The following is a 23,179-nucleotide window of genomic DNA, read 5'->3' as shown; positions in this document are numbered from 1 at the left end:
ATGCTGAGTGCGGTGGGTGAGGGGGCGATCGTGCTAGGTGACTCGCGTGCGTTCCCCGTGTAACCGGAGGCGCTGTATGGAGAAGGGGCACTGAGGGGTAGGGGAGCAGGCTAGCGTACTGTGAGACACCGGGCGGGCGGAGGGGCCGCGTGGGCGGCGGGCTGCCAGTGCGTGTGCGTGGAGCAGCCAGCCCACTTCCTCACCCAGAGCCATGCCGGGCCCCCCTCCCCGCCACCCTCCCTCCCGCCTCTTCCCTAGCCCTTGGACGCGCCCCCCGCTCGGCTGGGCCGCCCCACCTGGTAAAGGCGAAGTACATGAGGCTGACGATGGTGAAGCTGAGCAGGGTGATGGTATGCGGCCGGTAGAAGAAGTCAATGGTGATGTCCTCCACTTGCTGCTCGTTGATCATCCGGAAATGCATTTTGTAGTTCACATCATCCTTGCTTAGGGTCCGGCTCCCCACGCAGGACGCCATGGCCCGCCTCCCCGTCCTGCCGCGGTGGCGGCGGCCCCAGCCCGAGAAGGCCGGGACCCCGGGGGTGACTAGCCACAGTAGGCTAATAGCCGGACGGCAAAGCCGGGTCTGGCGCCCAGCAAAGGCTGGGAGCAGAGGGAAGGACAGGCGCGAGAGGGCGGGGTCGCGGCGCCGCCACCGCGGCCTGGGGCAGGGGACGCCGCCGGCCGTCCCCACGCTGTCATCCTAGCTGAGGCATCTCTACCACTCGAGGAATTTTCAGACTCCAAGTCCACAGGACTTCAGAGGAATAGCGAGCCGGAGAAGGGTAGCCGGGGCCCCTGGCTGGCTCTTTTCAGAGCACGTAGCCCGCTGTCTCCCCGCGTAACCCGGCACATGGTCTCGCCCACTCCGGGCGCGGCCCACGTGGGCCCGGGAGCGCGGCTGCGCTGTGTAGGGCGGGCTGAGGAGCCGGCGTGCGGCGCGGCGGGACGGGACGTGCGGCCCAGCGAGTTGGTCGGTCCCGGGGTCACCCGCTACGGGAAGCAGGCCTCGCCACAGGTAAAGCAGGAGCTGCCCCAGCACGAGGATCGCGCTCCTGGCGAGGGTTCAGGTTCCGGCGCACCCGCGTCCAGACCGCGCCCCAGGGCCTCAAGGGCCTTTAGGTTTTCGCGGCCCAGTAGAGGGTGATTGGTTTTGTTTTGTGTTTTTCCCTGGCTGATGTAGTGAAAACTCAACCATGCTGGCTAATTAGCGCAGTGTGAGAAGCCTCAGGAGGGGGCTCTGCCTTCCTGCGCAAGTTTGGGGAACTGAAGTGGGCTAAAATGGCCTGGGAAGTATTGAGAGACCCTTTATTAGGAAGCTGCCCCCATAACCTCCCTTTCTCTCCTGATTTCATTTATAGCATTTCGTAGGTAGAAATCTTGAACTCTATTTCAGTGCCTTTTTCTAGCGAAGCACTAGGCACTCATTGAGAACAGTATATATGAATTGTTAAGAGACTTCAGTTTCTTTAAGGGTTTTCTGTAATTTTCCTGATGAAAGGACCTTGTTAGAAGACTTCAGGTTACCACCTTACAGGGCTTTTATACACATCTGCACATCCCCTACCCGCTTTTGCATACTGTGTAAGCAAGTGAGTTAACTGTACTTGCCATTGATTTATTTCCATTCCGCAAACATTAGAGCAGTACAAGGCTCTGGGAAAGTGGAGAATAGTCCCCGGAAGGATGGATCCAGGGATGAGACCCAGCTCTGCTCTCGTGCATGAACAGTTAATCAATTGTTAAGATGTGTAGGCAGCAATGAAAGGATGTGGAGAAGATAGTGCACTTGTAAATAAAAATGCAAGGATAAACATTAGTTGTATGCACAAAGATCTTTTAATGACGGGGTGAAATTTGAAAGTGAGTCTTCCTGATGTTTAAGTGGTATTGAGTGTGGAAAGGCTTCAGGATGAATTTGGGATTTCAGGAGTTTGAAGTAGGATGAAGTGCTTAGACGTCAAAAAATGTTAGAGCTGATAGGGGCCTTAAGAATCATCTTATTGTACCCCTAGCCTTTTAAAAAAGCATTATTTGAAGAATAGTTATTGACCCCACCCCCACCCCCCACATCATGGGCTAGACTGCTGCTTTTGTTAGACTGCTGCCAGAAACAGCCTTGTCAAGGTAGCACAACCGAGGTCTTCTGACTTTCAATTTAGTGCCCTTATGACTACCGTGCAGAGAATGAATGTTGTAGGTTTGAGGGAAAACTTGGCACATTTGGAGTCCCATTTCCCACCAAAATCTAACAGAAACCACCTATCCCAGCAGGGTATTGTGAATACTTACTTCTTTTCTAAAATCATCGCAGAATGGGCCGAGCGCAGTGGCTCACGCCTGTAATCCCAGCACTTTGGGAAGCTGGGTGGATCACCTGAGGTAAGGAGTTCGAGGCCAGCCTGGCCAAGATGGTGAAACCCCGTCTCTACTAAAAACACAAAAAATTAGCCGGGCATAGTAGCGGGCGTGGGTAATCCCAGCTACTCGGGAGGCTGAGGCAGGAGAATCACTTGAACCTGGGAGGCAGAGGTTGCAGTGAGCCAAGATGGTGCCGTTGTACTCCAGCCTGGGCAACAAGGGCGAAACTCCGTCTCAAAAAAAATAATAATAATAATAATAATAAATAATTGCAGAATGAAAGGAAACTTTCACTTTTGTAAAATCTCTTTCAGCAAACTTCCCAAAACTACAGATCTCCAAGAAAAGATTAGACCCTCAAGTATTTGGTCTAATTTAGAGCATAAAACAAGCTGAATTCCAGTATGCAGAAAAACAAAGTATAAAGTTGTAGGCAGCAATTAATTCAGCAGAATTTTTGTATTTGGTTGTGTAACCAATAATAATGGCTAACATTTATTGAGCATTTCTTATATCCTGACTCCATCCTGTGTTTTATATGGATAATGTTATTTAACGTAAGATTATATGCATCAAATTTACCTTTCTAATTAGCTGGCTAAATATAAAATCCCTTCATATTCCTGGAGTTTAACATAGCACTAGCCTTTCCTGATAAAAATATTTTTGAAAACTACTTTTTCAGTCAAAATATACAGGTATTAATTGCTGGTTGCTTATTTATTTCTGTCACTTGGTTTTGTTACTAGTTTTGACCTTTTCTTTTTGAAGGCTTTTTTCTCCTTTCCTACAGTGAAACAAAACTTGACAAAACTGGTTTTGTTCAATTCCCTTTGGAAGAACAGCTTTATCTGTGAAGTAATCAACAGTGTTCAGCCCTGAGAATGAAGCAAGAAACTGCTTTCACTGTTCTGTATATCAATGATAATATTTTGATGATTTGTTTAGGACACAGTAGATTTCTGTTTTTTCATTTTGGGACAAATTTATATACATAAAATGCATTTGAATAATTCAGTGTTACTTTGATCAGCAATGTGCTGCGGAAACACCCTTCACACCAAATTTCAAGAACACTTATTTGCATCAGCTTATTCTCTTTAAATGATTAAATTAACAGATTAGTGAGGTCTGCTGTCACTTGAACATTTGCAGATTTTTGTTTTAAGCATTTTTCTTACACCAGTGTCATTGCATTTTGTTTTTAAATTGTAAAGTATATCTTTATTTTTCCACTCAGAAGTTCCTGTCTGTTGGTTTGTAACTGAGATTGCCTTGTTGTTGGCTTTTCCTGTACATAAGAAACATCTCACTATTTTAGACTAAATATATATTTAAACACCTTTCAATTAGAAAAAAATAATTTCCAGTTTATCTTTTTGTTGTTTGAATACCGTTTTAAACATTTAAGTAAATTAAATTTCTCTTCTTTTGACGGTTATATCTTTCCTTTGTAGACTAAGAAAAATGGCTTTGTCAGCCCAACAGATACCCAGATGGTTTAACTCAGTTAAGTTGAGGAGCCTCATTAATGCTGCACAACTCACAAAACGTTTTACTAGACCAGCAAGAACACTGTTACATGGCTTTTCTGCTCAGCCTCAGATATCCTCTGACAATTGCTTTCTCCAGTGGGGATTTAAGACTTACAGGACTTCCTCCTTATGGAATAGTTCCCAGTCTACTAGCTCAAGTAGTCAGGAGAATAATTCTGCCCAAAGCAGTCTGCTTCCTTCCATGAATGAACAGTCACAGAAGACACAAAATATATCCAGCTTTGATTCTGAGCTGTTTCTAGAAGGTAATTCTGAACTTTCAGAAAAGTCTCCCTTTCCCTACTTTGGCCATTTGAACAAGCTACCTGTTTACCTTCTGCTAGCCCATTTCAGGTAATATTTTGTGCCAAGAAAGAAAAAGAATAATACCAGTTCTATTGATGAACTTCTATCATGCCTTTATTTTACTGGTAAGAAAAAAAGTTTGTGGGCTAACGTGTAAGATTATTTTATAGCTACACATATAAAACATTTGCTTTTTAAATATTTTATTGTTTAGATTCTTAAAACAAAATTCTTCTAGTGGTAATTAGTTTTATTAGGGTATAATTATATCAAGTAAAATTCATCTTGTGGGATATATAGTTCTATGAATTTTGACATATGCATTTAGTGTGTAAGAACTACTGCAATCAACAAATAAAACAATTATATTAACTCCACAGAGTTCCCTCATGGTCGCTTTTTAGTCAATCCTCTCCTTCCTATGGGTCCTATTCTAGGAATATTTCGCTGGTAATGAAATGATATAAGGTTAAGTAGAATATGAAGGAAAGAGAGCTGGGGAGAGGGCAGGGAGGAGATGCTGGCTATAAATGATGAGAAAGGATAGTTAATGATGAGAAGCACAAAACAGAACAAAAGATCACAGACCTGATTCCTTAGCTTAAGGTAATGTGTAGTTCTAAGTGTCTTCCATGCTGCGTTTGATTTTAAAAAAACAAAAACAACTTCAGAATCAGGGCTGTACTAGAGAGTCACATCTCCTGTAGAGAGGACTGCAGGTTGTAGAAACAATCATAGAAGCCCTTTTAAAGATGTATTTGAGGGTAACTTGGAAGGGAGGGCATTGGGTCAAAACAAAGACTTTCGGGATATGATTACTTTAATCCATGCAATTCAGACTGTTGGCATATGTGTACTTTTAGCCAAGTTAACAGGCTATGGTAAACTCAATCTCTGTTTCAAAATTCACTTGAAAGTTAGGTGATTTTTAGCATTCTCACCTACTGATTAAGTGAAGGAAAGGCATTGTGTGCTTTGAAATTTACCAACAAATTTCTAATCTCAGAGGAACAGTAGTTAGTCTGTCTAAATAGTTGTAACCTTACCTCTTAAAAGGTGAAAAATTAGGGACTTGGATGTTTAATTCTAAAATGATCCCAAGATTTAACCACTGAAAGAAGCAAACAAGGGAAGAGCTGGTCTTTGCAGAAATAGTTTTAAGTGTGCATATTAGAGCACTAATTTGTTTCTCTCTTTCAAAGAACTGGATGAATTGCCTCCATTGTCTCCAATGCAGCCAATTTCAGAGGAAGAGGCTATTCAGATTATTGCAGACCCTCCATTGCCACCAGCTTCATTCACACTTCGAGACTATGTGGATCATTCTGAGACTCTGCAGAAGTTGGTTCTTCTAGGTAAGTTTGACTAAACTACAAGTACTTTTTGCATGTACTCTTCATTACTTTTTTTACTTTTTTAAATTAACAATTTAATCTATACTAAGTAGTATACAAACATAAGCAAAAGTCTAATAGCATAAAGGCTTCTAGTGAGAAACCGTATTCCCTGCCTCATCCTTGGTGATCTTGCATCCTATTCCCCAGATGCATCTACTTAACTTGTATCATTCTTTCTGTTTGTGTTCAACCTCCTCATTTTAAAATAGTTGTTTGTAGTGCTGTTGTTTGGTTCATCAGTTTTAGACATCATTTGATCTCTTGTATGTACACATGTACTTTTCCTGTATTCTTTTCAATTCTCCTAATATAAATTACAATTTTAGATAAATCATTAGTCAGTAGTTAAATTATGACTATAAATATTGCTATCTGCCCTAACAAGAAGTATGCTATCATTATTTACCTTCCTGTACAACTTTTCATTTTTCCGGCAGTAATAGTTGCCTTGTTCTTCATTTGATGAATTGTTTTGTTTGTTTGTTTGTTTCTGGGGTTAAACTTTTCCATACCTTCCAGTAGCCTCTCAGGACAGTTTTTCCCAGGTAACCCTATCAGATGATGTATTTCATTTCTCCAGAGTGGATTGTTCCCTGCTTGTCACACTACCCCGACCTCCTTCCTGAAGCCACTGTCCTCCTGATTTGAATGGTTTCTAGGCCTACTCTATAGCTGCCTTCACTTGTTGACCATTAGGTTGCACTTGGATCTGGATAGCTTAAGGGAGCCAGGGGATCTCCGTCCAAACTTTCATTTAGTCATCTTATTTTTAGTCTGGCATTTTATTACAAACTTTTGCTTTCCTCATTTCTCTGGGTTTGGTACTTCTCATACTTGATTTTCCCAGATAATGAATCTCCTTTCTCCTAGTGCATTGAGAGGAACTGGATTTGGGGGAGGTCGGGTCTCTCCATACCCAATACCCCAGTTTTTAGTCTGTACCTCACCTCTAATCTCTCAGATTTCTAGGGACTCCAATTTTGGAGACTTTTGAGTTTTTTGTGGTACTGATCACTTACCACTTGCCAGATTCTCATTTGCAGGCATTTCAGTGTCGTCTTTCTCCTCTCCGATAAGGCTGTTGCCATGCTTTCATCTGTTTTCAGATGTTTTCAGATATGTGGGGATATAATCTCGTTTCCTCAAAGAAGGATCTCATTTTTTGTTTGTCATTCCCCATATTTTTGGGAGGTGATTTTTAACAGGAGAGGAAAAAGAGAAAAATCTGTGCTCTGTTAGAAACTTTGGGGGTCATCCTTGATTTTTTTTTTTTTTTTTTTCTTCAGACTGGGTCTCACTCTGTCTCCCAGGCTGGAGTACAGTGGTACCATCTCAGCTCACTGCAACCTGCCTCCCAGGTTCAAGTGATTCTCCTGCCTCAGCCTCCCTGGTAGCTGAGATTACAAGCACGTGCCACCATGCCTGGCTATTTTTTGTATTTTTAGTAGAGACGAGGTTTCACCCTGTTGGCCAGGCTGATCTTGAACTCTTGGCCTCAAGGGATCTGTCCACCTCGGCCTCCCAAAGTACTGAGATTATAGGCATGAGCCACCGCACTCGGCCTATCCTTGATTCTTATTGCTTTTGTCCCCTTCCTCTTTACATCTAATTTAATAGCTTATCCTATGGATTCTACCCTCTCTATTTCTTTCAAATCCATCCACTTCTCTCATCCTACAGTCACTACCTTGTTTAGGTCCTCATTTGTCACTGAGTGGCTGCAGGAGCCTCCTATCTTGATAGTCTTCTCCTCAGCAGTATTGGCTCTGATATCTTTCCAGTGTTAGTGCTCTTTCTGAAATGCAGATCTAAGTCAGTGACCTATTTAAAATCCTTCAAAACCTTCCCATGGCATCAAAGCTTTTCCTGATTTGGCTTCTGCTTACCTGTTCAGCTTCATGGCTTGCCACTTCCCTCCTTTGTTTAGCCAACTCCAACAACTGGAGAACATCACTGAAGTCCAAGTAACTTCTAAAGTGTCTTCTTGACCCTGCAGACAGAGTGACCCTCTTCAGGCTCTCATTTCACTCCCTGCTTACTTGGATCCTAGCATTAATGACACTCTATTATAATTGTATACTCATCTGTCTGTGCCCAGTTACCCATATGTTACCCATATGTTTAGAATGGCCTTTGTTCTCAAGAAGCTTCAAGTCCTCAGAAACATCTAAATATATAAGAATAACTGGAATGCAAGGATGAAGAGCAAAGTGATAAGTCCCACATGAGAGGCAAATAAAGTGTTCTGTGAATCAGCCTAAGTGTCCATCAGTGGATGAATGGCTAAAGAAAATGTGGTATATTTATACACTGGAGTACTAGTCAGCCTTGAAAAAGGAGATCCTGTTATTTGCAACAACACGGATGAACCTGGAGGATGCTATGCTAAGTGAAATAAGCACAGAATGACTAATGCTACGTGATCTCACTTATATATGAAAGCTAAAAAAGTTGAACTCATAGGAGCAGAGGGAGCTGGGGAGTGGGGTGGGGAGGAATGGGGAGTTGTTGGGCAAAGGGTACAAAGTTTCAATTAGACAGGTGGCATAAGTTTTGGAGATCTATTGTCCAGCATGATGATGGTAGTTAATAATAATGTATACTTGAAAATTGTTAAGAGAGTAGATTTTAAGTGTTCTCACCACAAAAAAAAGTCATGAATATGTAAGGTAATGAATATGTTAATTAGCTTGATTTAATCGTTCCACTATGTATACAAATGTCAAAACAGCATGTTGTATCCCATAAACATATAATTTAAAAAGTGTACATTCAGAGGCAGGAAAAAGATGATGTCTGCTGTGAGGAGACAGTCACTTTTCCTTTCGAAACAGCTTTCCCTGTCTTATGGCAGGTGCTATGGATGATACAAGATAAAACCTAAGACACAGTCCCTGTCTTATCTTTTTTTTGACACAGGGTCTTGCTCTGTCACCCAGGCTGGAGTGCAGTGACACAGTCTTGTCTCATTGCAGCCTTGACCTCCTGGGCTCAAGTGATCCTCCCACCTCAGCCCCGCAAGTAGCTGGGACTATAGGCACATGCCATCTGGGCTAATTTTTTTTTTTTTTTTTTTAAATAGAGGGAGGTCTCACTGTGTTGCCCAGGCTGGTCTCAAACTCTTGGGCTCAAGCTTTCCTCCCACCTCGGCTTTCCAAAGTGCTGGGATAACAGGCATGAGCCACCGTGCCTGGCCTAGTCCTTATCTTTAAATAATTTACAGTATACTTACAGGTTTGGAATATGTTTCAGCCATTCCTTTACCTGTATGCTGATACTTCAACAGCATGTCTTAGAAGTAACTTAAATAATAGTAACTTAGGGGAGCCTTATTTGCTCTGTCAGACAGTATTTTTGAGTACCCAAGTCCTAGTTTTTTCTCTGTTTGCTTCTGAGACCTGTTTTCTGCCCGATCTGTATCCCAGGAGGCCAACCCCTATGCACCAGGGCTCCTATGCCAGCTGGCTTCTTGGCAGCTTCAGCCAGTGGGAGGCACCTACAGGACAGAAGGTAGAAGGGTCAGGTGGGGATATTTTTCCCGTTCCTTCCCTTCTTTGGGTCCTGTACCTGCCTCACTCCATGACAACAGCACTCTTGAGCAGCCCTTCCTTAATAGCCTCTAGTCCCTCTGCGCCGTGGTAACATTTTGCCTCCTTGTCTCTTTATTGTTGGGAAGGCTCTTGTTTGTTCTCTTAAGGCTGCTCACACCGCTGTATAGAGTCCCTTCATTAAAGTCCTTGTCATTTGTACTTTCCAGGGCACGTTGTATAGCCTGCTAGACCCTGATTGATGTACTAAATACGTGTAACCATAACTGAATAAAATGGTAATATTCGTAATTACTGAACTGATGAGGTAAAGCCCAACTAGACTGGTCACCTAGAGGTTAGAATCGTGTATTATTCTTTTTTTATAACCCCAATACCTAAAAAAGTGCCTGGTCCATAGTGGGCATTCAGGGAATATTTTTTCAAGTTAATGAAATGAAGTGAGCCCAAGTTATTTGCATTGAGAGCAGTGTGCATTCCTGATGAGATTCTGCTCTCCTACTGCTGTTAAAAAGCAGCTTTTCAGGATTTCTGTTCGAGCACAGTCAGGGTGTGACAGCTCATGCTGAGCAAAGCACTTCAGTTCATGTCAGCTGTAATATTTAGTTAAATGTGAAGTCTGAACCCTTTATGTTATTTTTAGAGCATCCGCTCCCCCATTTATCACAGATTTTTGGAACTGGTTTTCATCTTATTTATTTGTCCATCTAATAATTGGATTTATTTTTCTACTAATATTATTTTTAAATTACAAAAGAATTACATCCGGTTGTCAAAAGTGCAGATATTATAAGAGAAGGACCTCTTACCCTCTCTTCGTCCCCAGTTCCACTTCTCAAAGGTAACCACTATTAACCAAATTGTGGAATAGCTTTCCAGACCTTTTTCTACACTAGGTTTTATACTATTCTGTAGTTAAACGTAATTTTTTTTGTTTTTCTAGTAGAGTTAATGTATGTTTAGATTCTTTATCTAGAATTAATTTCCGTATAAGATATAAAGATAATTTTTTTCAAAAGTATAGCTAATGGTCCCATATATTTTAACAAATAGTCTATCTATTTGATTTGAAATGCATTATTGTTTGTATAATAACATTTTTTAGTTTATTCTGGATCTGTTTCTCATCTTCATTGAGTGTGCGTATTATTCTGTTTTCACACTGCTGATAAAGACATACCCGAGACTGGGCAATTTACAAAAGGAAGAGGTTTAATGGACTTACAGTTCCATATGGCTGGGGAGGCCTCACAATTATGGCAGAAGGTGAAAGGCACGTCTCACGTGGCAGCAGCCAAGAGAAGGGAGCTTGTGCCTGGAAACCCCCCTTTTTAAAACCATCAGATCTCGTGAGACTTATTCAGTATCACACAACAGCACAGCAAAGACTTCTCCCCATGATTCAGTTACCTCCCACCTGGTCCCTCCCACGACACATGGGGATTCAAGATGAGATTTGGGTGGGGACACAGCCTAACCATATCATTGTGTCTGTGTATTTAATCTATTTTACTGTTCATGGGCATCTTAATACCTGTTTAATATCAAGAAATTTGGATTTATAATTATATTTGGTTCTAATAATATTTGGAGTTATAATGAATATGACGATTTTTTTTTGACTGTGTGATGCCATTAAGAAGTTTTAAATGTGGAGGTTTAAGGTTGTATACTTTCTGCTTTGTTGTATACTTGAAGGGCTATGTGTTCACTTGTTCTCACTCAGACATTTCTTGAGTTTCTTCAAGGGACGTGTCTCCGTGCTAAAGACCTAGAGATTACAACGATGAGTAAGGCACAGGGTCATTTTTATTCCCCCTATGATGGGAATCATAAACATATTTTTTAAATAATGCTTATAACTAAGGAAAAATAAAATCTTCAAAGAAGGTAACATTTTATTCATATTGTTTGTTACCCTGCAGAATTACCAGTTACTGTGGGGTTCATCTGGGACTGACAAACATTCTGAAACAATATTCAAGAAACCTTAGACAAAGATGATGACCCTACACCAATATGACTTAGTGAATTTGTTTTGGGGGGAAATGTAGCACTAAATGCTCTATTTTCCTCTGTACTTGATTTTTAAAATAAATACTATGTTGTTTCTGCAACCAACTTAGTTTAAAAATATTTAGAAGTTTCTATTGATCTATCTCAGTGCTCCTTTGGATAGGTGTTGATCTCCATCAGTAATTTCTTGTGCTTATGTATATGAGTTTAATGGGTGAACTAAGAAGTCATCTTCAAACAGTATTTATAATTTATTATAGGCGTGGATTTGTCCAAGATAGAAAAACATCCAGAAGCAGCAAACCTCCTTCTGAGACTGGATTTTGAAAAAGACATTAAGCAAATGCTTCTGTTTCTTAAAGATGTGGGTATAGAGGATAACCAACTGGGAGCATTCCTGACAAAAAATCATGCAATTTTCTCTGAAGACCTTGAAAATCTGAAGACCAGGTAGGACTTTTAAAAGGATTCTCATATAACCTAAGAAGTGGTTATGAAGGAAATATATGTGGAAGGTATTCTTTAAATCTCTGCTGCACAAGGGTCTACTGAGATAACATGAATTTTTTTTGTTATAGACCTTCTTTGATCTAAATTAAGTATTTACAACAGTTCTTTCATTCAAGTACCCATTCTTCTTCTCCCCCTCCCCCTCCCCCCCTCCTCCTCCTCCTTCTTCTTCTTCTTCTTCTTCTTCTTCTTCTTCTTCTTCTTCTTCTTCTTCTTCTTCTTCTTCTTCTGCCTCAGCCTCCCAAGTAGCTGGGTGACTACAGGTGGCCACCATGCCTGGCTAATTTTTGTATTTTTAGGAGAGATGGGGTTTCGCCACATTGGCCAGGCTGTTCTCGAACTCCTGACCTCAAGTGATCTGCCCATCTTGGCCTCCAAAGTGCTGGGATTTTACAGGCATGAGCCACCCTGCCTGGCTCCATTATTATTTTTATGTTTTCAACTTATTACTGAGTCAGTAATTAACTCTTTCTCTTTAGAAACTGGAATACGTTTTTTTCTTAAAAAAAAAAAAAACCCATCAACAAATAGCTAACTTATCTGAGAGTGCACTTAAAGATATGATCTTTTGTGGTTTTTGTAGTTTTTGTCTGGCCAATTTTTGTTGTTAGACATTTGAGATTGTCTTGGCAAATTACTGTATAATTTGCTTAATCATTTCCGTAAGTTGGCTATTTTGGTTGTTCCTTGTTTTCTTCTTAAGGAGCACTTTTATAAACATCTCTGTACTTCATTCAACATTCAAAGAATTATTGAATTTGTGAAAATAAATACAGTGAGATATTGATCTGTGAGGTAAGAATCCTGCTAGGCATTGGGAATACCACAGAGAACAAGGCAAAACCCCTGTCCCTAAGTTAACATGTTGAATTCATCGTCGCCCCCACCTGTCATTCAACCCAGTCTGTATTCCCAGATTCACTGAATACCCTTTTGCCCAACTCAGAAATACTGGTATTAACTTGCTTTCTCTTCTTTTATCATCTACATCTAATAAATCATGAAAGCCCATCAGTTCTTCTCTTCTTATAGCTCAAATCAGTCATGACATTTCTCTGAATCTTTGCTTTGACTATTTTGCCTCAGTTCCCCATAATATCACACCAAGATTACTGCAATGGTCTCCTAATTGGTCTGCCTCTAGTCATGACCCTCCAGACTGTTCTCCACACTGATGTTGATCCTTACTACATTTCAGAGAGCTTTGCGATTCCTTAAACCATCAGTCTAATGTCTTTTCTCGGAATTAGGAAAAAAAACTAAACAAAAACCTTATTTATTAAATTGAACATTTGAGCCCTTCTATATGTGAGACACTGGCCTAAACTTTAGACATCAAAAACAGTCTTTCCCTTCATGAGAGTGATAGTCTATCACAATACAGAAGGGAGAGAGAATGATTCTAAGAAACTCATCTGACATATCCAGCTCTAGTCTTCTTGGCTGTCAGGAACACTAATTCTCTCTGCAGTCAAAAACCAGCTTGCCCTTTTTGCTCAAGATTTATTCCAAGAAAGCATGAATACCAGGAGGGTAGGGATCATTTCACACGCTGCACCATTATTGTTAATAGCACCTTTGTACATAGGAGTCGCAGAGAGGTTAAATAATTTGCCCAAGATTACACACCGTTAGTATAAGTAGCAGAGTAAGTGGTTTCAACCCCAGTTAATCAAACTCCAGGGTTCTGACTACTACACACTGTCTCTACATTTAATTCTTTGAAGGAAACTTAATAGCTTAAGTTACTTGCTCAAGCCATATATGCTCCTAACAATTGAGGAATATTCTCACGTCGGTAGCATAGTCCATTGATTCCTAAACCTGGCTGGCTATCAAATTAAGCTGTAGAACATTTTTAAAAATTACTTAGAATTTTTTAATAGGTAATGCAGCCACATGTATTCAAAAGAGTATACAGTAAAAAATACTGAATAGGCACAGGTATGAGAACCTTTATTTAAATGAACTTTGTTTCTGGTTCTGATATATGCAGCAGTCTTATTTCTATAACAGCACTGATTTCATGTACTTATTTTTTAAATAAAAAGTTATATTTAAAAAATCCTTGTAGAATTTTCAAATGAATAGTCGCATTTTAATTATTTAAATACTCTTTTTTTGGTTGGGTGGGCCTTATATCTTGATTTTTTATTGGAAAAATCATTACAATGTAGACAATAGTTTTGATAATTTTTTAATCAAATGCTGAACCTTGCTGCCAAAAAAACAAGTAATACCTCCTTTTCTCCTACTTTGTCCCTTGGCCTTTCAAGACCCACCTATCGACACAGCTACTGTTATCAGGATTTTTTGTTCAACCTTCTAGGAAGCATATATCTGTGTATACACACATGAATACAAATACATAACAATTGGTAGCATTTATACACACTATTCTGTATCCCACTATCTTACCTTCACTGTATCTTGGAGATTATTTTTTCTTGGTGCTGCCTATTCTTTTTAACTCTAGTACAGTCCATGCTGCGGATCTCGCTAGTACCTATTGATAAGCATGGAGTATGTTTCCAGTCCACTGTTAGGACAAGGCTGTAGTGACTTACCTTGTACATACTTCTGAAAAATCACACATATTGGTGTCTCTCTGTAGGACGTATTTCTAGAAGTGGAAATGCTAGGTCAAAGGGTGTGTTCATCTGTAACTTCAATAGATATTGCCAAATTGTCCTTCATAGGGGTTGTTTTCCAGTTTATACTCTCCCCAACAGTGTACAGAAGTGCCAGCTTCCCTGTTATCCTTACAGATACAGTGCTATCACACTTTGCTTTCAGTTGATTGTATAGATAAAAAGAGTACTTTATTTGTTGGTTGGAGCATCAGATGTTGAAACATGGAATGTTGTTTGGAGCATCTTTTCATATGTTGAATTTCTGTTTACATTTCCTTTTCTGTAATATATCCTTTGCTATTTTTTAATCAGGCTTTTTTCTTTTTCGGTAAACGTTCTTTTATATATGAAGAAAATTAGTTCTGTCTCTGAGACATGTTGCAGATATTTTTCCTAGATTGTCACTTGTCTTTTGACTTCATTTATAGTGGGGTGTTTTTGTTTTGTTTTGTTTTGCCATGCATTTAAAATTTTTATATACTTAAACGTATAAATATTTTAACTATTTTTAAAGGAGTAATAGTCATGTGATTATAAAGTAATATAAGTTTTGGTATATAGTATAAAAATACCATAGGCTTTAGATGTAGGCATGCCTGAGTTCACATCTTAGTTTTGTCAGTAATTAGGTGATGATCTCAGACAAGTTATTTAACTTCCCTGAATCCATGTTTCCTCATGGAAAATTCACTTGGCTCACAAGTTTTTTTGTTTTTCTGGTTAGAATTAAACAAAATAATATCCTGATATATTTTAGACATTTAGTAAAACCATCTTTTACTATGTTTTAGATTTTTTAAAAATGTTATTTTATAGTCAAACTTTCTATATTTTACTAACTTACATAGTTTGATCTTCAGAAACTTAGCAGGAAAATCTCTCAGTTGACAAAATACATATTGAAAGACTGTAGTAAAAATCATTTATAAAAATACATGCTCAGGCCAGGCATGGTCACTCAAGTGTAATCCCAGCACTTTGGGAGGCTGAGGTGGGCGGATCACTTGAAGTCAGGAGTTCGAGACTAGCCTGGTCAACATGGTGAAACCCCGTCTCTACTAAAAATACAAAAATTAGCTGGGTCTAGTGGTGTGTGCCTGTAATCCCAGCTACTTGGGAGGCTGAGGCAGGAGAGTCACTTGAACCTGGGAGGCGGAGGTTGCATTGAGCCCAGATCATGCCACTGCACTCCAGCCTGGGCAACAGAGCGGGACTCTTCCTGAAAAGAAAAGAATAGAAGAGGGGAGGGGAGGGGCTCAGTAAATATACTAACCTAAAAAATGCCTCTCTCAGTTATAACCATTATTTCCTTAATTTTCTTAATTTGTGTTATTTTCTTAATTTGTGTTTTTCTGTTCTTATCAAAAAAAAAAAAATCTTAAGCAGAAGCTATTTCATTCTTTCTTACCAAGTAATAAACCAGATTAATTGAAAAGAGAATCTAAAGGTTGGTGCAAAAGTAATCATGTTTTTGCTATTGAAAGTAATGGCAAAAACCGCAACTAATACCTATTAGTGGATTTCAGAATTATTTTCTGTTTTTAAGTATAAGTGGAAACCATCTAGAGTTGGGTGAATGCTTGTTTTGTTTTAAACGTGTTTTTGCCATTGTTACAGAATGCTTTTATTTAGTTAGTAATTTAGGGTGTGGGAGCCTTTTTAAAAACAGCTGTTACTTTGGGAAGTAGCATGAGACTCCATCTCAAAAAAAAAGAATGTAAGTGTTTATCACATGCGTATGTATTTATGTTTCTCTAGGGTGGCTTATCTGCATTCAAAAAATTTCAGTAAAGCAGATGTTGCACAGATGGTCAGAAAAGCACCATTTTTGCTGAACTTTTCAGTGGAAAGACTGGATAACAGATTGGGATTTTTTCAGAAAGAACTTGAACTTAGTGTGAAGAAGGTAAAGAAAAGGAGAGAATTTGTTTATTTCCATGTCAGGTACATTTTAATAGCTGATAGATCTCATGTTCCCAGCAGATGCCTGGCCCATGTGAATCATATAAATTCCTGGTATTTTTTGTACAAAAATGAATTATCCTGCTAGTTTAAACATAGAGCTCCATCATTTTATAATACTTAATCAAACTGGTTCCTTCAGTTTTTGTTTTCTTTTTTTCCAAACAGTATTAATCTTATCTATTCCTGGGGTTCCTATCATTTTTCTGATTGGGTCATATTTTAAGTTTTAACTTTGTATCTTAATAATGCCTTAATTTTCCAAACTAGTTAAAGATGCACGTATAGTAATACTAGATTGTTTTGTTTGCAACCACAGACTAGAGATCTGGTAGTTCGTCTCCCAAGGCTGCTAACTGGAAGTCTGGAACCCGTGAAAGAAAATATGAAGGTAGGACAACTTTAGGCTTTTTGAGAAATCAGTTTCTTTAAGTGTTAAAATCCTCTGAAGAGAACAGATTTTGCTATTGTCATGTAAAAGAAAACTAGACTTTAAAATAAGTTATTTCTAAAAAGAGAAATAGGAAATTATCTTTAACAAATGTCTAGCAAGCAGTTTGTTTCAGTTAATATTTTCACGTTGAGCAGGTATTAACCTGAGTAAATCACCTTGCAGACATTGATACCCACAATCCTAAAGCATTAGATAGGGATATAAGTGGTACCCTGAAACTGCTTCTGTTGCCCAGTGTGGGCGTCTGACGTCTTTGTTACCTGGGCAGTGTTACCAGTCTACGAAAGTACTCCTGTTGGCCAGCATGACAGTCTGTGTATGTCTCAGGGAGTTTTGGAGGCTGGATCCAAAAGACTTCTGTGAAAAGAGTAGCAGCCAGCACATTGTTCTCCTTTGCACCTGTCCCAATTGCCAGCTCTCATTCTGTCACAGAATGTACCAGACACTCTTTACTGTCCTTCCTCCAAGAGAATAAGATAAAGCCAAGAGCAGCTGACTAGTTAGTATATAAAGCTGTAGTAGTATTTGAAATATTATATAAGGGCTGTTTTCTGAGGTGAACAGTTCAGTCATTGAAGAAATCTTTTTATTGAGCTCCTGCCCAAGCGCCATGCTGAGGAGACAGCTTCTCCTCCCAAGGAGCTTACAATCTAGTGGGGGATCAAATCCAGAGTGATGGGGGCAGTTACTTGGTGGGGGCACACAGGACACTATGAAAGCAAGTAGAGGACCCGGCCTGTGTTTGGTTGTTTAGTTCCTCATCTCTGCTTGGAATGTTGACATGTCGTTTTTCAGACAACACATATGTGGGTGTACTTGGGAGCAAAAGCTCAAAAAGCATTTTGAAGATCCTGCTGCTGAAGGATCTGTTTGGTGTTGGGCCCATGCCTCTGACCTGCAGCGCTCCCATGTCACTCATTCCCTCTTGTAATTATGGTTGCCCCTTTGGTGAGCTTCATGACCATCATGGTGTAGCTCTTTCTCAGCAGAGGGGTTTGAAATTCTGGTGACCCCAGGAGCCGGAAGCTGTAATTCCTTGAAGGCACTGGCATAGCTGTCTCCAAATTTTAAAATGTTATTTTAAGTTTAAAAGAATCATGGTCAGGCGTGGTGGCTCATGCCTGTAACCCTGGCATGGGAGGCCGAGGTGGGCAGATCACTTGAGGTCAGGAGTTTGAGACCAGCCTGGCCAACATGGTGAAACCTCATCTCTACTAAAAATACAAAAATTAGCCAGGCATGGTGGTGGGCACCTGTAATCCCAGCTACTTAGAAGGCTGAGGCAGGAGAATCACTTGAATCCAAGAAACGGAGGTTGCAGTAAGCTGAGATCGTGCCACCGCACTCCAGCCTGGATGACAAAGCGAGACTCCGTCTCAAAAAAAAAAATCATGGCCAGGCGCGGTGGCTCACACCTGTAAGCACTTCGGGAGGCCAAGGTGGGTGGATCACTTGAGGTCAGGAGTTCAAGATCAGCCTGGCCAACATGGTGAAACCCTGGCTGTACTAAAAATACAAGAATTAGCCAGGTGTGGTGGCATTCCTCTGTAGTTCCAGTTACTTGGGAGACTGAGGCAGGAGATCATGCCACTGCACTCCATCCTGGGCAACATAGCGAGCTCCATCTCAAAAAAAAAAAAAATCAGTGCAGCCTTGCCATGGTACCAAAATAACTATTTCTACATAACGATTCATAGCAAATTTACTTTCTTTTAGGTTTATCGTCTTGAACTTGGTTTTAAACATAACGAAATTCAACATATGATCACCAGAATCCCAAAGATGTTAACTGCAAATAAAATGAAACTTACCGAGACGTTTGATTTTGTGCACAATGTGATGAGCATTCCCCACCACATCATTGTCAAGTTCCCACAGGTAATGCCACTCACAGCTCTCTCTGTAAGCGCTGCCATTGCGCTTCATTTGGAGCTGCTCTCCAGCTGCATAGTTCTGTACGCTGGGAAGAGTTTACAATTTGCAGGGCGCAAATGTCCATCTCCTGAGGAGAAATCAGTGATTAGTCTCTTTCCCTGGAGTTTCTACCTAGTCCTAGTTCTGATTGTTGGAATCAGGCCAACAAATCTAATGTAGTCTCTCTTCTCTCTCATGTTTTTCTCTACTTTACTTTGGAATAGATCACTTCCCTTAAAGGTCCTTTCACTGCTACGTGTACTTTTTAGTCACAGTTTATTTAAATTCATGAATCAATAAGCCATATTGTAATGATCCCCATCCCAATATAAAAGTGATCCAGTTTGCCATCATGCCAAAGCCGTAATTATATTTTCTAAGCTAATCAAGCTTCCATATTCTTTACCTAGTGAGTGATATTATCTGCTGTTCACAAGAATATTAATCTTGAATATTGACTCTTTAAAAGCAGAAACTTTGTCTGATTTATACACTGCCAAATCCTCAGTGCCTAGAACTACACCTGGCACTAAGTAGGCACACAATTAATATTTGTTGAACAAATGAATGATTGGATTTTATCAAAGTAATCCTTTTTTCCTATTTCCTATGCAAATAGCCACTCAGTATTTATTGGATAAATGACAAACTGAATTTTTATTTAAGTGATCCCTCTACTCCATTTGCTAGAACACATGTTCCTGTTTTTGAAAAAAGATGGGTAAAAGAAATATGACCTTAATACAACTCTCAGAACTAGACTGCATTAGGTCCAGTTCCTTCACATACAGCTATATTTATTTGCCTATTATACTTCACTAGGAACGGGCCTCTAATATAGGATTTTCCTATTTTACCAAACGTAAATATACCCATTATAGAAGTGTTAGAAGCCTACAGTTTTGTGAATTTGGCTCATGGAGTAATTGTGAAATAATCTTCAACGAAAAAGAAATGACAATTTGTTTTTCCCTGGGTTGGTGGGTAATTCATTTTTCCAGTATATCACTGAGCATCCATCAGTGCTACACATTGGGCACTGAGGATACAAAAGTCAAGCAGACATGATCTCTGTTCTTGTGGAACTTATAATCGAGTGTGGAAGACAGGTTTAAAAATAGAATTGCTTTATATGATGGTAGAGTCCTAACCAGAGCTCCTACAGTGATTTAGAAGCGGTAGGAGAATTATAGAAGTAATAACAGCAATTGAGTACTTACTGTGTGCCAGCTCTATCTTTATTGCTTTATTTGTATTAACACAGTTAATTCTCACAACAACCATATGAGGTAGATGCTATTATTACCCCTATTTTACACATAAAGAACTTAAGCTTAAAGAGATTTAAGTAACCTGTCCAAGGTTACCCAAGTAACAAGGTTGGGGCAGAACCACGATTAGAACTCCAACAGTCCAGTTTAAAAACCCAAGCCCTTTACTAGGATCTGCTAGAAGTACATTTGAATTGTCTGTAGAAGAGGGAGTGGTGTTTAAAAGATGGAGAGGAGCTTTCCAAATAGAAGAAATTATAAGCTGACCAGATGCATCAAAATCACTTAAAAACACAGATTTTAGGCACCCCAAACCCTTGCCTCAGAGAAGCTCTGTTGTAGAATTGTGGCTTCCAAATTGGGATTCTCAGATTCCTAGAGTCTAGGTGGAATTATTGGGGAATAAAAACAGAAAAATAAAAAGCTTATTAATGAAAAAATACATTAACGGACAGTAAGGCTGTGAATGGGCTGATATAGACTTTACATTTTTGGCTGGTGTTTAAATCTCAGTGGCATGGAACTAATTTTCTCATGTAGATAATATTCCTGGTTGGCAGATCTGACTTACGATTAATTAAAAATGGGGAAAGAAGTATAACTTAATAACTATGATCAATTTAGTCATTTCAAAGAAGAGATCTTGGAAGGTAAAGGATAACAAAAGCAGTTTTAGGGTAATGAATGTGAAGAAATCACTAGGCTAAGGAAAGAGGTTATATTCAGGATCCCCCGAAACCTTCACTCTCCCCTTCCTCTGTGACTTTCTGTGAAGGCAAAGTTGAAGTCCACCTTAGGATTAGAGGGAACCAATAATTCTCAGGCTAGGGGCACTTTTTTTAACTCCGAAGAATTTAATATGTCATTAATAGGATGAAATTTTTGTGCCAATGGCAAAGTAGCCCCTGGTGGCCAACAACTCTCCCCCCACACCACCACATCCATAAAAAAAGAAGGGAGAAACACCGCAATCTGAGCAGTAGCTTTTGGACTTGAAAGAGTACACAACTCTCTAATGATGGAGTAACTTTGGTCCACTGGAGAAGTAAACGTATAATATCTGCTCATAAGCTAAATAAATGCTTTGAAGTGTTATTATATTTAGGAAATTAGTAATCGTTTAGGAGCACCAGAACCATTTGTGGTTTTGTCTGTTGTTGGGTGATAGTTTTTTTTTGTTTTTTGTTTTTTTTGTTTTTTTTTGCGATGGAGTCTGGCTCTGTCGCCAGGCTGGAGTGCAGTGGCGTGATCTCGGCTCAGTGCAACCGCCGCCTCCCGGGTTCAAGTGATTCTTCTGACTCAGCCTCCTGAGTAGCTGGGACTACAAGCGCCTGCCACCATGCCCAGCTAATTTTTGTGTTTTTAGTAGAGACGAGGTTTCACCATGTTGGCCAGGATGGTCTCAAACTCTTGACTTCGTGATCCGCCCACCTTGGCCTCCCAAAGTGCTGGGATTACAGGTGTGAGCCACCGCGCCCGGCCGGGTGATAGTTTTTTAAGCCAAGAATCACTGCATAGGAGTCATACTTCTAAAAAAAAATCTATCTAAAACCTCTTACATCTTCGTTATCCATAATATTGTGATCATGGGAATTTAGTTATCAGAACAAGGGCAGAATAGCAGAGACTGAGAAGGGAGATGTTCTGTTCCAAAAGCAAGCCAAACCCATGTTGAGGTACACCCTGTGCTTTTTTTAGTCACTCTTCTCATAGTACTTTGGTTTTCAACAATTGCTTTTCATAGTGTCCTTTCCAACTGATCTGTTACTGTTTCCACTTGAATATAGGGAAAGAGGCCTAGGGGTTATGTGAACGCATCCCGTGTTCACATTATATCTGTAACAGCCAAGAGGAGAGCTTGAGGCAGGCATAATATTGAAAGGGCTTCCTCTGAGCCTCATCGGGGAACCTCACAGGTCTCTCAGGCTTCAGGGCTGTAGCTCAAGTCTGGCCGGATCTCCCATTTGTCTCTTCTTTCTGTAGCTGGCTGTAGAGCCTTGCCTGCTTCTGACTCCTTTCTAAAGTTGCTGCCGCTTACTCTAGTTTTTAGGAGTTTTACTTTGAGGCAGGTAAGACATACTTTCCCTAGTTGCTCTCCCAGAGGTCAGATTCATTTCATTTTGATTCTAGTTAAGGGGAGGAGTGCAAATTTTAAAAAAGGGAGAGAGAGAGGTGTTACAGATTATGAAATCTTATACATTTTTATATAATAACATCTTAATCTCTAACATTGGTTCTCAAACTTGGTAGATATCAGAATCATCTAGAGGGCTTGTTAAGACAGATTTCTGGGTTCTGCTCTCAAAGTTGCTGATTAAGTAGTTTTGGGGTGAGGCTTGAGGATTTGCCTTTTTTTTTTTTTTTGAGATGGAGTCTTACTCTGTTGCCCAGGCTGGAGTGCAGTGGCGCGATCTCGGCTCACTGCAACCTCCGTCTCCTGGGTTCAACCAATTCTCCTGCCTCAGCCTCCTGAGTAGCTGGGATTACAGGCATGCGCCACCACGCCCAGCTAATTTTTGTATGTTTAGTAGAGACAGGGTTTTGCCATGTTGGCCAGGCTTGTCTTGAATTCCTGACCTCAGATGATCCGCCTGCCTCAGCCTCACTAAAGGCGTGAGCCACCACGCCCGGCCGAAGATTTGCTTTTTTAACACATTCTCCTCTGTCTCTGGAGCACTCAATCTTCTTTGCACACAGTATAGCCCTGAATTATTTTATTATTGTTTTGTATGTTGATTTTGAATCCCTTTTTCTAGTTTCTTCACAGAAAATATAGGATTTAAATCCTCTGGCATTTATCCTACTTACTGAACACATGGTCAGTACTTGGTATTGGTTAACCTATTAAAATTTTTGCCAAGTAAACTTTTTAATATTTCATCCTCCCGTGTGCAGTGTTTTTTAAAAACTTTTTTTTCTTTTCTAGGTATTTAATACAAGGCTGTTTAAGGTCAAAGAAAGACACTTGTTTCTTACCTATTTAGGAAGAGCACAGTATGATCCAGCAAAACCTAACTACATCTCTTTGGACAAACTAGTATCTATTCCTGATGAAATATTTTGTGAAGAGATTGCCAAAGCATCAGTACAGGACTTTGAAAAATTCTTAAAAACGCTTTAGATTTTTATGTATGTTAAAATGCAGTATTGTAAAGTGAATATATATATGAATAAATGAATATATTTTTAAATGCCTCGGGTCTCAACTGATATTGGAAACCATTTGATACTGTAAATTTGGGTACATATACTGTGGTAGAACTTTCATCAAGTTC

At 39.9% G+C, this 23,179-nt stretch overlaps 2 protein-coding genes across 6 annotated transcripts in view, besides 7 other annotated features; one reads left to right on the top strand and one right to left on the bottom strand.

Annotated features, from left to right (window-relative positions):
• PTDSS1 (phosphatidylserine synthase 1) overlaps positions 1 to 614 on the bottom strand; it is a 75,094-nt gene extending 74,480 nt beyond the window's left edge. For both annotated transcript variants that reach the window (NM_014754.3, NM_001290225.2), the window contains exon 1: positions 297 to 614. In NM_014754.3, the coding sequence (NP_055569.1) occupies positions 297 to 475 (179 nt within the window). In that variant the 5' untranslated portion in view covers positions 476 to 614. The remainder of the gene's footprint in view (positions 1 to 296) is intronic.
• Positions 74 to 766: an enhancer, noted in NCBI's record as "H3K27ac hESC enhancer chr8:97273978-97274670 (GRCh37/hg19 assembly coordinates)". NCBI's record gives its function as "activates a minimal SCP1, AML or CMV promoter by ChIP-STARR-seq in naive H9 embryonic stem cells {active_cell/tissue: H9 hESC(naive)}" and the evidence as "EXISTENCE:reporter gene assay evidence [ECO:0000049][PMID:30033119]".
• Positions 79 to 258: a silencer, noted in NCBI's record as "silent region_19388". NCBI's record gives its function as "represses an Ori minimal core promoter by ATAC-STARR-seq in GM12878 lymphoblastoid cells {active_cell/tissue: GM12878}" and the evidence as "EXISTENCE:reporter gene assay evidence [ECO:0000049][PMID:35858748]".
• Positions 309 to 678: a silencer, noted in NCBI's record as "silent region_19387". NCBI's record gives its function as "represses an Ori minimal core promoter by ATAC-STARR-seq in GM12878 lymphoblastoid cells {active_cell/tissue: GM12878}" and the evidence as "EXISTENCE:reporter gene assay evidence [ECO:0000049][PMID:35858748]".
• Positions 761 to 1,085: a silencer, noted in NCBI's record as "fragment chr8:97273659-97273983 (GRCh37/hg19 assembly coordinates)". NCBI's record gives its function as "represses an EF-1alpha promoter that drives an FKBP-Casp9 reporter gene in an ReSE screen in K562 erythroleukemia cells {active_cell/tissue: K562}" and the evidence as "EXISTENCE:reporter gene assay evidence [ECO:0000049][PMID:32094911]".
• Positions 859 to 1,008: a silencer, noted in NCBI's record as "silent region_19386". NCBI's record gives its function as "represses an Ori minimal core promoter by ATAC-STARR-seq in GM12878 lymphoblastoid cells {active_cell/tissue: GM12878}" and the evidence as "EXISTENCE:reporter gene assay evidence [ECO:0000049][PMID:35858748]".
• Positions 903 to 23,118, top strand: MTERF3 (mitochondrial transcription termination factor 3). Of its 4 annotated transcripts, NM_001286643.1 has the most exons (9): positions 903 to 1,015; positions 3,816 to 4,159; positions 5,402 to 5,554; positions 11,421 to 11,610; positions 16,062 to 16,209; positions 16,585 to 16,656; positions 18,436 to 18,597; positions 22,661 to 22,722; positions 22,831 to 23,118. In NM_001286643.1, the coding sequence occupies exons 2-8, from the start codon at positions 3,826 to 3,828 to the stop codon at positions 22,685 to 22,687; spliced, it is 1,086 nt and encodes a 361-aa protein (NP_001273572.1). In that variant the 5' UTR covers positions 903 to 1,015; positions 3,816 to 3,825; the 3' UTR covers positions 22,688 to 22,722; positions 22,831 to 23,118. The 4 variants fall into 4 exon arrangements, with proteins under 4 accessions (NP_001273572.1, NP_001349893.1, XP_011515356.1 ...); NM_001362964.1 differs by lacking the exon at positions 22,661 to 22,722 and having other exon boundaries at positions 5,437 to 5,554; XM_011517054.3 differs by lacking the exon at positions 22,661 to 22,722 and having other exon boundaries at positions 3,816 to 4,324; positions 5,437 to 5,554.
• Positions 1,249 to 1,308: an enhancer, noted in NCBI's record as "active region_27660". NCBI's record gives its function as "activates an Ori minimal core promoter by ATAC-STARR-seq in GM12878 lymphoblastoid cells {active_cell/tissue: GM12878}" and the evidence as "EXISTENCE:reporter gene assay evidence [ECO:0000049][PMID:35858748]".
• Positions 1,460 to 2,153: an enhancer, noted in NCBI's record as "H3K27ac hESC enhancer chr8:97272591-97273284 (GRCh37/hg19 assembly coordinates)". NCBI's record gives its function as "activates a minimal SCP1, AML or CMV promoter by ChIP-STARR-seq in primed H9 embryonic stem cells {active_cell/tissue: H9 hESC(primed)}" and the evidence as "EXISTENCE:reporter gene assay evidence [ECO:0000049][PMID:30033119]".

Source organism: Homo sapiens, chromosome 8 (assembly GCF_000001405.40).
Source record: "Homo sapiens chromosome 8, GRCh38.p14 Primary Assembly".
Lineage (NCBI taxonomy): Eukaryota > Metazoa > Chordata > Mammalia > Primates > Hominidae > Homo > Homo sapiens.
Note: the sequence above shows the minus strand (reverse complement) of the source record. Positions and strands in the feature narration are given on the sequence as shown.